Below are 15,032 nucleotides of genomic sequence, written 5' to 3' on the forward strand. Positions count from 1 at the left end.
AAAGTCCCAGTTTACATTGGGTCTCTTGTCACATGAAACAGAAAGAGTCCTAACTAATGTGGTTGGTTAAAAAAACAATTATTTGTTTTTCACTTCCAAGGTAATTAATATATTGTAAATTCAGGAAAGATGTGCTTCAGGATTTTTTTGACCACAATAGTGATGTCTTTTTGTGAATATTCATTCTTCAGTAGAATAACTGGCCAGCAGAAAACACCAAACTCTGTCTAGCTTGTATATACCAATTAAACATGAAATAACTTGGATTATATGATCATAATTTTTATATTCAAATTTCATTTAAAAATACATTACTTTTTAGTGGTAATAGTAGTCCTTCCACCAGTGGAGGGTTGGTTATGAGAGGAATATATTTCTTGCCGCAACTTGGAGAGTTCCTTACAAATAAAAGATAATATAATCATTTGATGGAAAGTAGAAACATGAGATAATAAATATATTTAATCATTTAGAAGGGTTACTAACAATGATTATACCCCCTCCCTTTTACCCCTTTTTAGCCTTGACGTAATAATGTTCTAATCCCACTTGTTGAATATCACCTAGTGTTGCTTCACAGTACCTAATAAGTTATATTATATGCCGGTGCAGGAACCTGCAACTGATACAGGATATCTAAATTTGGAGGATAACTTGAGATTGAATGGGCGTGGTTCTCAGGATGAGGATGTGAAAGTTTTTGCTCTGAAAAGCCTGAAAAGTATATCCATAGAAGAAAAGTATTGAAACTTCAATATATAAGCAGATATAGTTTCTTAAGAGAGAGTTTATCAATGAATGTTACTACAAGCACCATTTGCTCCATAACAGCAATACAATATTACCCATAATTTTTGACAATTCCTTCAGTACCTATTGAATGCCAGGTCATGGGCTACATGCTACAGATACAAGGAGGAATATAACACATGCTTTAATGAAGCAGCTCATAATGTAGTAAGGAGGTCACAGTCTACTGGGAATTTCACTGCTAATGAAATATAAAATCAATGTCTTAAAAATATTAAATGTATAACAGCACTTATTTTTTGCTTCAATTGTAACTTTCATTTGAATTGTGTCTCCTGAAATATGTATATTCTACTTCCTCACTTGCACCTACATTTTATTTCATTAAATAAAGTGACTCTTGGATATGTGTCCTTTTCTAGTCCATGGGAAGTATTTATCCTACAGTACTACAGTACTAAGTTGTATTACTTTTCTCCATCCCCACCCCTTCCTTTTATACCTCTGACTGACGCTTTATGAGGGAATCCTTCTCTTCCAGCAAGCTTGTCAGTTCATGAAGCTTAAATTGGAAGTCACTACAACTTCCTTCTCTCTTTGAAACATCTTTATGGTACTGGTTTAATTGGGACTAAGGATTTAAAAAGAAATAAATATTATTATAATCTTCATATAGAAAATGTGTAACTGAGTTCCAGGGAGGTTAAGTGACACAAACTCACACAGTTATGAAATGAAAGTAAAATACCAATAGTCATAAACGTTCGAAGAATTTCATGAGTATGTAATATGAAATGAAATGCCAATTACAAATTTCTCCTTTTTTTAAGGTGTCTTTGCTATGTAGGACTAAACATTATCTACGTAACAGTCTTAGGCCACAAAATTTAAAGTAAAGCTAAGAAAACAGGCACTTTAGAGTCCTTGAAATAATAATTAAGGAAATAGCAATAACAAATTACTACTATTATATTCTGATTTTCAGTTCACAAAATATTCCTCCTGCATGAATTATCTCAGTTCTCACAGCAGTCCCATGAAATAAGCATTATTATAATCTTCATTTACAAAACAGATAATGGGCTCCAGAGAGGTTAAATGACACAGTCACGCAGTAACATAGCTGCAACTCCAAAACAGGTCTTCTGACTACAAATCTTGTCCATTTCCCTCTTTACCTCATATGTGTGTAGCTTAGGTAGAAGTGCTGTTAGTAATGTTGGAATGGAAAAGAAATCAGTGGAGGAAATCTGCTAGAAGTATTGGTAGGTTTGGAAAACAAATTATATTTTGTTTCATTTTGATTTTTGGTAAAAATTATACAGTGATGTTTGGAGAGACAAATTTGTGATTATTTTGTTTATTAAAATATTTAAGTATATTTTACTACCTTTAGGAATCAGTAAAATAAGGGTTAGATTAAGTAAATTCAACCTAGAATTACAAGTTAAGGCAATATATACTTATAAATATCACCTTAATTTTGATGTCAACTATAGGTACCTAAAACTTAACACTGTTTTCCTCCTCATGCTTGACAAAGTCCTTGCTATTCATCATCCCTCGAAATTAAGTGAGAATTTTTACAAATCTAACTATGGCTCTGTTGAGTAATTTCATATATTGCTTTTGCCTACATAAGCATGCTTTAGGCAAGATCATGAAGAGTCCTCCATCTATCCCAAAAAATAAATTAATAAAAACCAAAACCAAACCACTGAAATGAATATCTTCTTTTACTTTCCTAGAAGAAATTAAGCTAAATTAGAAAATCATTTAACAGTTATATTTTAGATACAGTAATGTATTTAAAACAAATGAATACATGACATATTTCTAAAACTCTACCTTCAGCTAATTTTTTCTGGTAGCTTTAAACTTGAAGCCATCATTATCTTGCTAGAAAGTTTGTGCTGACCTGTGTATTTATGCAATGTAGGATCAACATACCCTCAGTCTGCAGATCTCTCTATCTTTCTCCATTCTCAAGTTTTTTACCATCTCCGTGTAGTGGTTGCCAATCTCATCCATTTTAGCCTGCAACATTGGGCCTGTGCAAGTCTCAGAAACCTACAGAAGGCAAAATAACTATCTGTAATTGGATTGTTTTGAAGAAAATACATGTTATGTTACAAGGATTGTTATTAGATGAAAACCACATGATTAAATAAGACATTGAAATAATGAAAGTGATTTTCAGGAACTGCATTATAAAGCTCAAATGTCAGTGATTAAGATCTAACAGTATGTGAGGGAAAGCAGTCCATATGTTTTCTAAATGCTAGGATTACAATGATGTAACTAAGGTAATACTGTATATTTAAAAGGAAGTTTTAATACCTGCATTCTAAGGTTTTGATTCTCTTGCTCTAAATTACGTTTACAATATTCCAGTTCTTTTAGTCTGTATTCCATGTCTGATAGTGTATGTCGAAGAGAGAGATTGTTTTCTTCCAATGCCTGGCATTTTGAACTTGAGTCTTGAAGTCCTTGCTGTAAAGAAGACACAAGTACATAAGACAAATGCATTTTGTTTTTGGTGAGGGAGTGTTCTTTTTATTGATTCATTCAATTGAATCAAGTAAATATTTTCCTATGCCCAGTTTTCTTATACTCTGGGTCTTAGATGGTACATTAAGTCACCCATGTAAGATATTATAGTGTTGCCTCTAGTCTCACTCATCTATTTTGTGAGAGAGGGAATCATGACTAGATGAATTTATAATGTCTCAATTTAACAATCAGACTCTTGCTACTCTGTGACAATACTGTACCCTGCTTTCTAGTAGGCACAGAAACGACCATATGCCTGATTATTTACATGACAACTAGTAACTGAGCAAGAATTTGGGACAGCCATAGGAGTAAAGATCAGGAAGAGGGTAATCCTTAGAGACTACTTACAATTTCCTAGGAATTCTCTCTGCTCAGACATCCAGAGAATTCATCTAGAGTTTTTTCAGTCATTTATTTATTGCACAAACATGTATTAAGGTCTACAACAGCTTTTCTCATTGACATGTTAGTACATTAAATAAATGCATGAACCTAGATTTTTAGTATTTCTACAATTCTGGTCACCCAACAAGACAAATAATTGTGTCCCATATGTACTTTATATCTAAAATAGATAAGATTATCTGTTTTTCTGAGAGGGCTTTCAGCCATTAGAAATACCCAAAGCCACTCAATTCTCATATGAACAAATTTTTCCATCATATTTAATTCTGTCTTGATTATATCTCATAACTCCAATGTGCCAGTAATTGTGCATATGAAAAGCTATCAATGTAGATTAACACCAATAAAAGCATCAGTTTACCTGCTGCTGGTGATTATTTGCTCTCACTGATGCCAAGAGTTCTTCGTACTCTTTTAATTGAGTGTCTTTGAATGATAAATCTTTCTCAAGTCTCATCTTGTCATTTTCCAGTGACTAGAAGCATAAATTATTTATTATGATTCAGAATTGCAAAAACTTAACAGTCACATAATACAAAGACTTGCTTACCTTGGAAGATTTAAATAAGCACTTGTTTCATTTGTACTTGCTTAATAAAGCAGAATTCTTAAAAGTTAAGAAAATACGGGATAGGAAATGATTGAAACTTCTAAAACCTTCATTGAAAGAGACATTTTGATGGACTAACTATACATGAAATGAAGCACAACCCTCTGAAATGTTTTAATGTTTTCCTCCAATCTACAAAGAGTCCTCGTTAATCCCAGCGAGTGGTAAATTTTTAAATTAGAGTCTAAATATGTTCATCATAACCCAGAAACAACAAAACTACTCCAAAGTCCTCAAGGCATTATTCAATGTGTGGAAAGCATTCTGAATGTATCTAGCTGATGGCACCAAGAACACCAATTAAAATAGAAAATGGAAAAAAATTAATTTTTTGGAGAAAAATGTTTTCAAGTTATTATATTTGAATGGAAATTCAGAGTATGCTTTATAATTATGAAAAAGGGGGAATTTACCTCCAATGAGTCAGATTATTTTAACTTTGCAGATGACTCTCTGGCTTTAAGCATTAAATTGCCTTAGTGGTAAACTAAATGATAAGTGCACATCCAACATTCTTTCATTTATACTTTGGATACCTCTTTTCTCCTCTCTCAATGCCAATTAACTGTTTGAAGAAAATAATTTAGCTTTGTCTGAATAAGCATAATATTGTGCTATATTAAATTTTAAAAACATATACTGGACATCTTTATTTCTGTATTAGGAAGCTAGTAACTAGAAAGGCTTTGGAAAAAATCAAAATAAATCTTACTGTCATATCATTTTGAAGATGTCCAAGCTCCTCCCGTATGTTGCTAAATGTGGACAGCACTAGTCGGAGTGACTTATCAGACATACCCCTCATCTGCAGGAAGAAAGGATTAATGGTTTAGTTTTATTAACATTTGAAAATAGGCAATATAAGTGAAAGTTTTTTTTTTCCTACTAGCAAACTTATTAATAATTTTACTTTGATATGGCAAATTAGAAAGGTGATATAAGGCATTTTGTCAATAGTGTGTTTAAGTAATCCAAATAATATTCCTGAAGATAGCATAGCTAGTATTTATAACAAATATTTATTATTTTTTCCATGATAAAGTATCATCTTTGTCACAAAGTAGAATTCTATCAGCAAAATTTAATTTTTACATTATTCTTTATTTAAAAGATTAGAAGAGATGAGACAGTCAATAATCAAATAATAAAATGAATCTCCCTAAGTGTATTGCCAACTGCCTGAATTTTGCCTGAGGTGAGAAGAATATAATTATAATTAAGTTTAACTTTAAAGTATAGAGCTATCTAAATATTTTTGGTTTTTTTTGTTTTGTTTTTGTTTTTTTACCAGAGTCTCACTCTGTCGCCTAGGCTGGAGTGTAGTGGCATGATCTCAGTTCACTGCAATCTCTGCCCCCTGGGTTCAAGCAATTCTTCCACCTCAGCCTCCCAAGTAGCTGGGACTACAGGTATGCACCAACACACCTGGTGAATTTTTGTATTTTGAGTAGAGAACGGATTTCACTGTGTTGGCCAGGCTGGTCTCGAACTCCTGACCTCAAGTGATCCACCAGCCTTGGCCTCCTAAAGTGCTGGGATTACAGGTGTGAGCCACTGCACCTGGCTTATCTCAAATTTTAAAGAGAGGGGAAACTCTTTTACTAGATTATTCTTATTTCTTTAAAGAAAAATGGTTTAAAAAACAGACAACTTCAGCTTCTGGGAAGATGGAGTAAAAATACTTTCCACAACCAATCAGACGTTGTTTAAGGTTTAACTTTGTAACTTCAGCCTCTGATTGGTCACTTTCTGCAACCAATCCGACTGATAACGGGCCACTACTTCATTTACATAGAGTGTACACCAAGTTACCAATGGGAAACCTCTAGAGGACATTTAAACCACATAAAATTATATAACTGTGCACTTGAGCCAATTGCTCAGCCCACTCCCACCCTGTGGAGTGTGCTTTCATTTTCAATAAATCTCTACTTTTGTTGCTTCACAAAAAAAAAAAAGAAAGAAAAAAGAAAAAAAATACTTTTCCCTAGCCTTCCTGTTAATTGCAGCTAAAAACCCTGGACATTATATATAAAACAAATATAAAAAGACCCAAATTGGTGAAAAGAGAAATGATTGGTTAGGAATCTTGGGACCTGAGAAATGACACAGCAGTGAGTTCCTGGATTTTCTTTTTGCTTCATATATTAGATCAGTGTTGGGCAAGCTGGTGATCTAGTTACATCAATGGACAACAAAAGTCCTGAGAAAAGCCTTCTCTCTCTAACCAAAGGACCATGAAAGGGTCAGCCTAGCAGGACAGAAAACTTTTAGATAGTAACCACTCTATCTTAGCCAAACACCACAGAAGAAATTGCAACTCTACTTCCACACGGACCACCAAAGGCCAAGAAGAGAGCTTAGACTGCCCCCTTGTCAGGCTCTAGGGAGGTACACAACACCATTCACTGGGATGGTGTCAGAAAAGACAGAGTGAAGAATGGTGCTTTCATTCCTACTGGCCAAAAATGAAATTCCATGCACTGTGATGTCAGTTGAGACTGTGAAGGGAGCTTGGGCTTTCACCCTATCGCATCAAGAGAAGCTGAGTGGGGGAACCTCAACTTCCACCACCAGCTGGCAGTAATAGGTAGTGCACACACTTTCTCTGATATTTGAATATTTGAATGAGACCCAGAGAGTCACAACATAAAAATGGCCAGGTCTCCCATCCAAGTACTAGCCAGGCTCAATCCTGCTTAGCTTCTGAGATCAAACAAGATCAGACATGTTCAGGGTCAATTGAAAATCACTCATAATTCCAAGAACAACAAAAATCTCAACCAATAAGAAAAAACACTTAATTGATGACAACATCAAGATAATAGAAATGTTAGAATTATCTGATAAAGTGTATAAAACAACCATCATAAATACTTCAACAAGAAGTTGCAAGGAGACTGTAAAAACACATTGTCTCAATGACAAAATAGAAAGTCTCAGCAAATAAATAGAAGACATAAAGAATACCTAAATGGAAATTTTAGAACTGAAAAGGACAGTAACAAGACAAAGAAACAAAAACCAAACCAAAACAACAAAGCTCTCAAGGAGTGGGCTAAAAAGCAGAATGGAGAGAACAGAGGAAAGAATTAATGAACTTAAAGATAGAATAAAATAAAGTATATAATCTGAATATCAGAAACAAATAGATTAGAAAAAATTAAACAGAGCTTAAGGGTTTGTGGGTGTACACCACATATCTAGCTTTCATGTTCAGAGTCCTGGAAGGAAAGGAGAAAGAGGATGGAGCTGAAAAAATATTCAAAAAAATTATGGCTGAGAAGTTTCCCAAATTAGTAAAACCTGGTAACATACATATTCAAGAAGCTGAGCATATCCCAAACAATATAAACCCAAAGAAATCCATTACCAGACAAATCAGAGTCAAACTTCTTAAAACTAAAGACAAACTAAAAATTTTCAAAGCAGCAAGAAAAACATTAATTATTGGGAATAACAATTCAAATGACAACAGATTTCTCATTACAAATCATGAAGCCCAGAAGGAACTAGGATACTATTTTTTAAGTACTAAAAGAAAATAATTGTCAACTGTAAATTCTATATGCAGTGAAATTATCCTTTAGGAATGGAGGGAAATTCACATTTTCAGATGAGGGAAAATGAAAATAATTTGTTACTAGCAGACCTACCCTTAAAGAATAGCTAAAAGAAGTTGTCTAAAGAGAAGAAAATCATAAAAGAAAGAATTTGGAATATTAAGAAGGAAGATATAGCATTGTAAGCAAAAATATGGTAAATACAATAAGTTTTCCTTCTTTTCTAGAGTTTTCTTTTTTTATTATACTTTAAGTTCTGGGATACATGTGCAGAACGTGCAGGTTTGTTACATAGGTATACACGTGCCATGGTGGTTTCCTGCACCCATCAACCTGTCATCTATCTACATTAGGTATTTCTCCTAATGCTATCCCTCCCCTAGCCCCCCACCCCCTGACAGGCCCCAGTGTGTGATGTTCCCATGTGTTCTCACTGTTCAACTCCCACTTATGAGTGAGAACATGAGGTGTGTGGTTTTCTGTTTCTGTGTCAGTTTGCTGCGAATGATGGTTTCCAGCTTCATCCATGTCCCTGCAAAGGACATGAACTCATCCTTTTTAATGGCTGCATAGTATTCCATGGTGCGTATGTCCCACATTATCTAGTCTATCATTGATGGGCAATTTGGGTTGGTTCCAAGTCTTTGCTATTGTGAATAGTGCTGCAATAAACATATGTGTGCATGTGTATTTATAGTAGAATGATTTATAATCTTTGGGTATATACCCAGTAATGGGATTGCTGAGTCAAATGGTATTTCTAGTTCTAGATCCTTGAGGAAGCGCCACACTGGTTGAACTAATTTACACTCCCACCAATAATCTAAAAGCGTTCCTATTTCTCCACATCCACTCCAGCATCTGTTTTTTCCTGACTTTTTGATGATCGCCATTCTAACTCACGTGAGATGGTATCTCATTGTGGTTTTGATTTGCATTTCTCTAATGACCAGTGATGATGAGCATTTTTTCATGTTTGTTGGCTGCATTAATGTCTTATTTTGAGAAATGTCTGTTCATACCCTTTGGCCACTTTTTGATGGGGTTGTTTGTTTGATTCTTGTAAATTTGTTTAAATTCTTTGTAGATTCTGGGTATTAGCCCTTTGTCAGATGGATAGATTGCAAACATTTTCTCCCATTCTGTAGGGTGCCTGTTCACTCTGATAATAGTTTCTTTTGCTGTGCAGAAGCTCTTTAGTTTAATTAGATCCCATTTGTCAATTTTTGCTTTTGTTGCTATTGCTTTTGGTGTTTTAGTCATGAAGTCTTCCCCATGCCTATGTCCTGAATGGTATTGCCTAGGTTTTCTTCTAGAGTTTTTATGGTTTTAGGTCTTACCTTTAAGTCTTTAATCCATCTTGAGTTAATTTTTGTATAAAGTGTAAGGAAGGGGTCCAGTTTCAGTTTTCAGCATATGGCTAGCCAGTTTTCCCAGCATTATTTATTAAACAGGGAATCTTTTCCCCATTGCTTGTTTTTGTAAGGTTTGTCAAAGATCCAATAGTTGTAAATGTGTGGCATTATTTCTGAGGCCTCTGTTCTGTTCCATTGGTCTATCTCTCTGTTTTGGTACCGGTACCATGCTGTTTTTGTTACTGAAGCCTTGTAGTATAGTTTGAAGTCAGGTAGCATGATGCCTCCAGCTTTGTTCTTTTGGCTTAGGATTGTCTTGGATATATGGGCTCTTTTTTTGGTTCCATATGTAATTTAAAGTATTTTTTCTAATTCTGTGAAGAAAGTCAATGGTAGCTTGATGGGGTTAGCACTGAATCTATAAATTATTTTCAGCTGTATGGCCATTTTCAAGATATCGATTCTTCCTATCCATAACAATGGAATGTTTTTCCATTTGTTTGTGTCCTCTCTTATTTCCTTGAACAGTGGTTTGTAGCTCTCCTTGAAGAAGTCCTTCACATCCCTTATAAGTTATATTCCTAGGTATTTTATTCTCTTTGTAGCAATTGTGAATGTGAGTTCACTCAAGATTTGGCCCTCTGTTTGTCTATTATTGATGTATAGGAATGTTTGTGACTTTTGCACATTGATTTTGTATCTTGAGACTTTGCTGAAGTTGCTTATCAGCTTAAGGAGATTTTGGGTTGAGACGATGGGGTTTTCTAAATATACAATCATGTCGTCTGCAAACAGAGACAATTTGACTTCCTCTCTTGCTATTTGAATCCCCTTTATTTCTTTCACTTGCCTTGTTGCCCTGGCCAGAACTTCCAATACTATGTTGAATAGGAGTAGTGAGAGAGGGCATCCTTGTCTTGTGCCGGTTTTCAAAGACAATGCTTCCAGCTTTTGTCCATTCAGTATGATATTGGCTGTTGGTTTGTCGTAAATAGCTCTTATTATTTTGAGATACATCCCATCAATACCTAGTTTATTGAGAGTTTTTAGCATGAAGCGGTGTTGAATTTTATCAAAGGCCTTTTCTGCCTTTATTGAGATAGTCATGTGGTTTTTGTCATTGATTCTGTTTATGTAATGGATTATGTTTATTGATTTGCATATGTTGAATCAGCCTTGCATTCCAGCGATGAAGCTGACTTGATCATGGTGGATAAGCTTTTTGATATGCTGCTGGATTCAGTTTGCTGTATTTTATTGAGGATTTTTGCATCGACGTTCATCAGGGATATTGGCCTGAAATTTTCCTTTTTTGTTCTGTCTCTGCCAGATTTTGGTATCAGGATGATGCTGGCCTCATAAAACGAGTTAGGGGGGAGTCTCTCTTTTACTATTGTTTGGGATAGTTTCAGAAGGAATGTTACCAGCTCCTCTTTGTACCCCTGGTAGAATTTGGCTGTGAATCCATCTGCTCCTGGGCTTTTTCTTTTCTTTTTTCTTTTTTTTTGGTTGGTAGGCTATTAATTACTGCCTCAATTTCAGAACTTGTTATTGGTCCTTTCAAGGATTCAACTTCTTCCTGGTTTAGCCTTGGGAGGGTGTATGTTTCTAGGAGTTTTTCCATTTCTTCTAGTTTTTCTGGTTTATTTGCGTAGATGTGTTTATAGTATTCTCTGATGGTAGTTTGTATTTCTGTGGGATCAGTGGTGACATCCCCTTTATCATTTTTTATTGTGTCTATTTGATTTTTCTCTCTTTTCTTCTTTATCAGTCTGGCTAGTGGTAGGGAAGAGGGTGGAATGGAGAAGAGGAAGGCAAAAACTATGAGATAGAGTCAGATTGTACTAAAGCGCTGAGGAGTGAATAAGGGCATTCTACAGAAGGGAATAATATTTCGAGAATGTTTTCCCAAATGCTAGTGATTCAATATAATTTTTGGTGATCTCACCAAACTGAAATATATCCCTTGTCTAACCAAAGAATCCTCAACTCTTAGGAAATAAGATTTTAATTTGGGACTTTCTGTTCTTAATTAAGGGAAGCAACCTAGGAAGCTGTTTGTTAGTGTTGATTTCACACATCCACTCTTGACCCCAACTCACCTGCAGAATGTAGCGTATTTGCTGTTTTGTAAACTCTGATAATCCTTTAGGAATCAATGATTCAATGTCTTCCGACTGTAAGAAAAAAAGGCTTATCCATGGAACAGATACATATCAATCTTAAGATCAGCAATCCACAGACTTTTGTGTAATGGGACATATTTTAGGAATATTAAAAGACTAATTCACTTTTTGAGAAACAGTTTCTATGAGTTTAATTTATAGCCTTATCAGTTCTTATTTTAAAAAAATCAATTATATTACAAACAGTATAAAAATAATCCTGAATTCCACGCATTTTAGGGAAAACCTTTGGGCAACCAATGAGAAGTTCCATTTCTATTTTTAAAAAGACGAAATTAAAAGCAAAATGGTCTATTAAATTCCTTTACACACTTTATTCATTGTATATTTTTTAAAACTGGAAGTTTTGTTGAGTGACAGATATGACATTCTAGAAGCTGATTTTTGAAATAAGGAAAACTTTGGGAAATAAAAATTAAGGGAGTTACAGGTTTTACTGAGAATTTACATAGAGCTGTGGTGACTTTTGGAAGATTATGATGTTGCCACCACAACACTGAAACAGCTTCAACTAATTTTAAGTGAGTAGCTGAAGTGAAGTATTTCTTAAAGGCAATTTAGGAATTACTGCATAATTGTAATGAATGCAGTATGCCAGTACACTGGAAAAAATGATTAAAAACACTAAAGAGGGAATTGTGCTTTTTATTGCATTGAAATAGGTTTTTCTCTATTTGATTATTCTATTAAAAGCAATTAAGATAATATGCATATGTAATAGATTAATACTTGAAAATATTTTTACTTTAAGTTGCTGACTGGCATGGCACATATAAGGTTTTGAAGCATATTAAAACTACATTTGCTATTTAATTAATCATATAGATTTCAGTTTTCTAAAGCAGAGAATATGTGGTCAGTGAAACATCTCTTGTACCCCATAAATAAATACACCTACTATGTACACACAAAAATTAAAAATAGAACATTTCAAATAAACATTGCAATAAGCATAGACAAATCATAAAGTGACAGCTGATAACAATTTTTTTGTGAATAATTACTAGTTTTATAGCTATTATAAATATGTAGTGTTTATATAATTTTAAAGGCAAAATGGCCATAAATTTTTTCACTTACCTGCATTTTCAGTCTAGTAAGGTACTTAACTGAAAGAATATTATTATTGCAAATATCAGAATCTACTTTGTTATTATACTATATTCGATTTTCAACTATCTTTGCACTTACCTCATCTGTAGACTCAAAGTCCTGTTTGCTGCAAGAACAAAAAAAAAGATACACAACTTTAGGAAAAGGTATTCACTGATCATATATAAATGCTAGTTTTCTATTAATTTTATCTTACTTTTTGAAATATAAGAGGACTTATTCAATTTATAAGCACAAGTGAAAATGTTAAAACTAAAATGGCACTTTTACTTAGTTTGACTAAATTTTTTTTTCTGGAATTAGCAAATCTATTAAAAAAGAACATCTGAATAACAAAATAATAAAATATGCAGAAGTGGTTAGTACCATCCGTTAGCACCAGTTTAATTGTGCCTAGATTAGAAGTCCTCAGTGCTTGGCAATAAATGCTTCTTGGGTGAATGAACAAGAAAAATAGCCTTTATCTCTCTATTTCCACCTTCATTTTCTCCTTGTATGTTTCAGTGCTGATTCCATCTTCTCTCCACAGTGTTTTCAAGTTCTTCATACCCTCTTTAACAAAATCAAAGCTTGCAAGACAAGCCTGAATAACTCATTTAATCTATAGTAGAGTATATTTGGTAATGACTGGCTTGAAGGATATTTGAATCTTTACATAGGGACAAAGCATTAAGCAAAATGATCAAAATTCTAGTGGGGTAATAGAATTTCCAGCATCATAATGAGGATTTGGTCACAGGGGTCGAAAGACCCTTTGTGGAGCCGTGATAGGTAGGAAAATGCTGAAGGAGAATTGTTACTGGTTATACCAGACTGGCACTTACTCCTTTGGGAACGTTGAAAACTGGAAAGGATACATTGATAGTGTTGTCTGGGGCAAGACATAGGCCTTCATTTTTGCCAACTTGTTCCCGCTCCACTTGATGGAAGAATTAGGCCCAAAATATATATGGTAAACATACTTCTCAAACAAACAAATGAAGAAAAAACAGTAAACATGGGTTCTGACAGCAAGACAGAATATTTATTTTATTTAAAGTAATTAACTTGACTTTATCATGAAAACATTCCAAGATTGATTTGTCTATTCATTTTTTTTAACTTTTATTTTAGGTTGAGGGGTACATGTACAGGTTTGTTATATAGGTAAATTGCATTTTGTGGTGGTTTGGTGTACAAATGATTTCATCAATGAGGTAATAAGCACAGTAACCAATAGGTAGTTTTTTGATCCTCATCCTCCTCCCACCCTCCACCCTCAAGTAGGCCCCAGAGTCTGTTGTTCCCTTCTTTGTGTCTATATGTACTCAATGTTTAGCTCCCACTTATAAGTAATAACATGCAGTATTTGGCTTTCTGTTCCTACATTAGTTTGCTAAGAATAACAGCCTCCAGCTCCGTCCATGTCCCTGCAAAGAACATGATCTCATTCTTTTATATGGCTATATACTATTCCATGGTGTAGATGTACCACATTTCCTTTATCCAGTCTATCATCAGTGGGCATTTAGGTTCATTCCATGTCGTTGCTATTGTGAATAGTGCTGCAATGAACATAGGTGTGCAAGTGTCTGTATGGTAGAATGATTTATATTCCTTTGGGTATTGTTGAAAACAGTTTGGCAATTAGTCCAAGAACTTAAAACATAATCAGCATTTGATTCAATGGAATTGCTGGGTCAAATGCTGATTCTGTTTTAAGTTCTTGGACAAATTGGCCAAACTGCTTTTCACAATGGCTGAACTAGTTTAGATTCCCACCACCAGTGCATAAGCATTACCTTTTCTCCACAACCATACCAGAATCTGTCATTTTTTGACTTTTTAATAACAACCATTCTGACTGGTGTGAGAAGGTATTTCATTGTGGTTTTGATTTGCATTTCTCTAATGTTCAGTGATGTTGAGGTTTTTTCATATGCTTGTCAGCCACATCTATGTCTTCTTTTGAAAAGTGTCTGTTCATGTCATTTGCCCACTTTTTAATGAGGTTGTTTGTTTTTTGCTTGTAAATTGTCAAAAAGAAGTGTGGCAATTTTTCAAAGATCTAAAGACAGAGATACCATTTGACCCAGCAAACCCATTACTGTGTATATACCCAAAAGAATATAAATAATTCTACTGTAAAGACACATGCTTGTGTAAGTTCATTGCAGCACTATTCACAATAGCAAAGACATGGAATCAACCTAAATGCCCGTCAGTGATAGACTGGATAAAGAAAATGTGGTATATATACACCATGGAATACTACGTACCCATAAAAAACAACAAGATCATGCCCTTTGCAGGGACATGGATGGAGCTGGAGGCCATGATTCTTAGCAAACTAACACAGGAACAGAAAACCAAATACTGCATGTTCTCACTTACAAGTGGGAGCTAAATGATGAGAACATATGGACACATAGAGGGGGAACAACACATACTGGGGCCTATTAAAAGGTAGAGGGTGGGAGGAGGAAGAGGATCAGGAAAAATAACTAATGGGTAC

General features: G+C 34.5%; 1 protein-coding gene across 3 annotated transcripts in view; it reads right to left on the minus strand.

Moving 5' to 3' along the window:
- Positions 1-15,032, minus strand: part of POF1B (POF1B actin binding protein) — a 102,270-nt gene that overhangs the window by 25,695 nt on the left and 61,543 nt on the right. For all 3 annotated transcript variants that reach the window (XM_005262203.5, NM_024921.4, NM_001307940.2), the window contains exons 8-15: positions 12,617-12,644; positions 11,342-11,416; positions 5,034-5,126; positions 4,073-4,186; positions 3,091-3,243; positions 2,701-2,820; positions 1,253-1,381; positions 316-398 (exon numbers count right to left, since the gene is read on the minus strand). In XM_005262203.5, coding sequence (XP_005262260.1) covers positions 316-398; positions 1,253-1,381; positions 2,701-2,820; positions 3,091-3,243; positions 4,073-4,186; positions 5,034-5,126; positions 11,342-11,416; positions 12,617-12,644 — 795 coding nt within the window. The remainder of the gene's footprint in view (positions 1-315; positions 399-1,252; positions 1,382-2,700; positions 2,821-3,090; positions 3,244-4,072; positions 4,187-5,033; positions 5,127-11,341; positions 11,417-12,616; positions 12,645-15,032) is intronic.

Source organism: Homo sapiens, chromosome X (assembly GCF_000001405.40).
Source record: "Homo sapiens chromosome X, GRCh38.p14 Primary Assembly".
Taxonomy (NCBI): Eukaryota; Metazoa; Chordata; class Mammalia; order Primates; family Hominidae; genus Homo; species Homo sapiens.